The 1,111-nt window shown below is 37.5% G+C and overlaps 1 annotated feature.

Moving 5' to 3' along the window:
• Positions 564–809: a silencer, noted in NCBI's record as "fragment chr1:215677085-215677330 (GRCh37/hg19 assembly coordinates)". NCBI's record gives its function as "represses an EF-1alpha promoter that drives an FKBP-Casp9 reporter gene in an ReSE screen in K562 erythroleukemia cells {active_cell/tissue: K562}" and the evidence as "EXISTENCE:reporter gene assay evidence [ECO:0000049][PMID:32094911]".

The raw sequence follows: 1,111 nt of genomic DNA, 5'->3' as shown, positions 1-1,111 counted from the left end.
CAGTAATACTTCTGTTACAATTTTTGATGATGTCAATGTGTATGTAGATGATTTTCTGATACTTTAGGATCTTGATTCCTTGACCTCTTCATCCTCAATGAATTTGTACTCCATGCCACTTCAACCATTCATTCACATCATCATAACCTTGCTGTGAATAGCAAAAATACCCTCTCCTTAATGTCCCTGAACTCTATCATCTGCCCCCTCAAATATGTAAGACTGCAGTGTTAGCTGGTTTGGGCGTTCAGGGAAATGTCTCCAAGCAGGAAAACCATCAACTTGTAGTTCTTCCTTGATTCAGAGGCATTCTTTCAGTTCAAGTTTCTACATTTGTTTTTATGCTTTTGTCCAATGTATATTAATTTTTTCAGGATGAATCACCAGACCTCTTCATGTTGCCATTCTTTCTATTAAATTGTAATTTCAGTTAGGGTATTTTTGTATTTCTAGAATTTCTGTTTGTTTCTTCAAATCTAAGCTTTAACATAGTTTTAATTAAAAGTATTTTCCCATTTTTGCTCATATTTTCGAGCTTTTTATTAATTTCTTTATATAAAGTGAGAAAAAATTGTTTTACAATCTGTGTTTGATAATTCTAATTTCAGAAGTCTTTCTGGGCCTGTTTCTGTTGTCTGATGCTTCTGTTAGTTCTGACCCATTATGCTTTGATATAGTTTACACACACACACACACACACACACACACACACGTGGTGCGTGGTTAGTTTTAACTTTTTTTTTTTTTTTTTTTCAGAGTCTCACTCTGTTGCCAGGCTGGAGTGCAGTGGTGCAATCTCGGCTCACTGCATCCTCCACTTCCCGGGTTCAAGTGATTCTCCTGCCTCAGCCTCCTGAGTAGCTGGGATTACAGGCACATGCCACTACCCCGGCTAATTTTTTTATTTTTGGTAGAGACGGAGTTTCACCATATTGGCCAGTCTGGTCTTGATTTCCTGACCTCGTGATCCACCCATCTTGGCCTCCCAAAGTGTTGAGATTACAGGCATAAGCCACCGTGCCTGGATGGTTAGTTTTAACTTTGTGGTGCTCATTTATTTGATAAAATGTTTATGAGCATTCTTAGAGACCTTAATAAAGACATATTTACT

Source organism: Homo sapiens, chromosome 1 (assembly GCF_000001405.40).
Source record: "Homo sapiens chromosome 1, GRCh38.p14 Primary Assembly".
NCBI lineage: Eukaryota > Metazoa > Chordata > Mammalia > Primates > Hominidae > Homo > Homo sapiens.
Note: the sequence above shows the minus strand (reverse complement) of the source record. Positions and strands in the feature narration are given on the sequence as shown.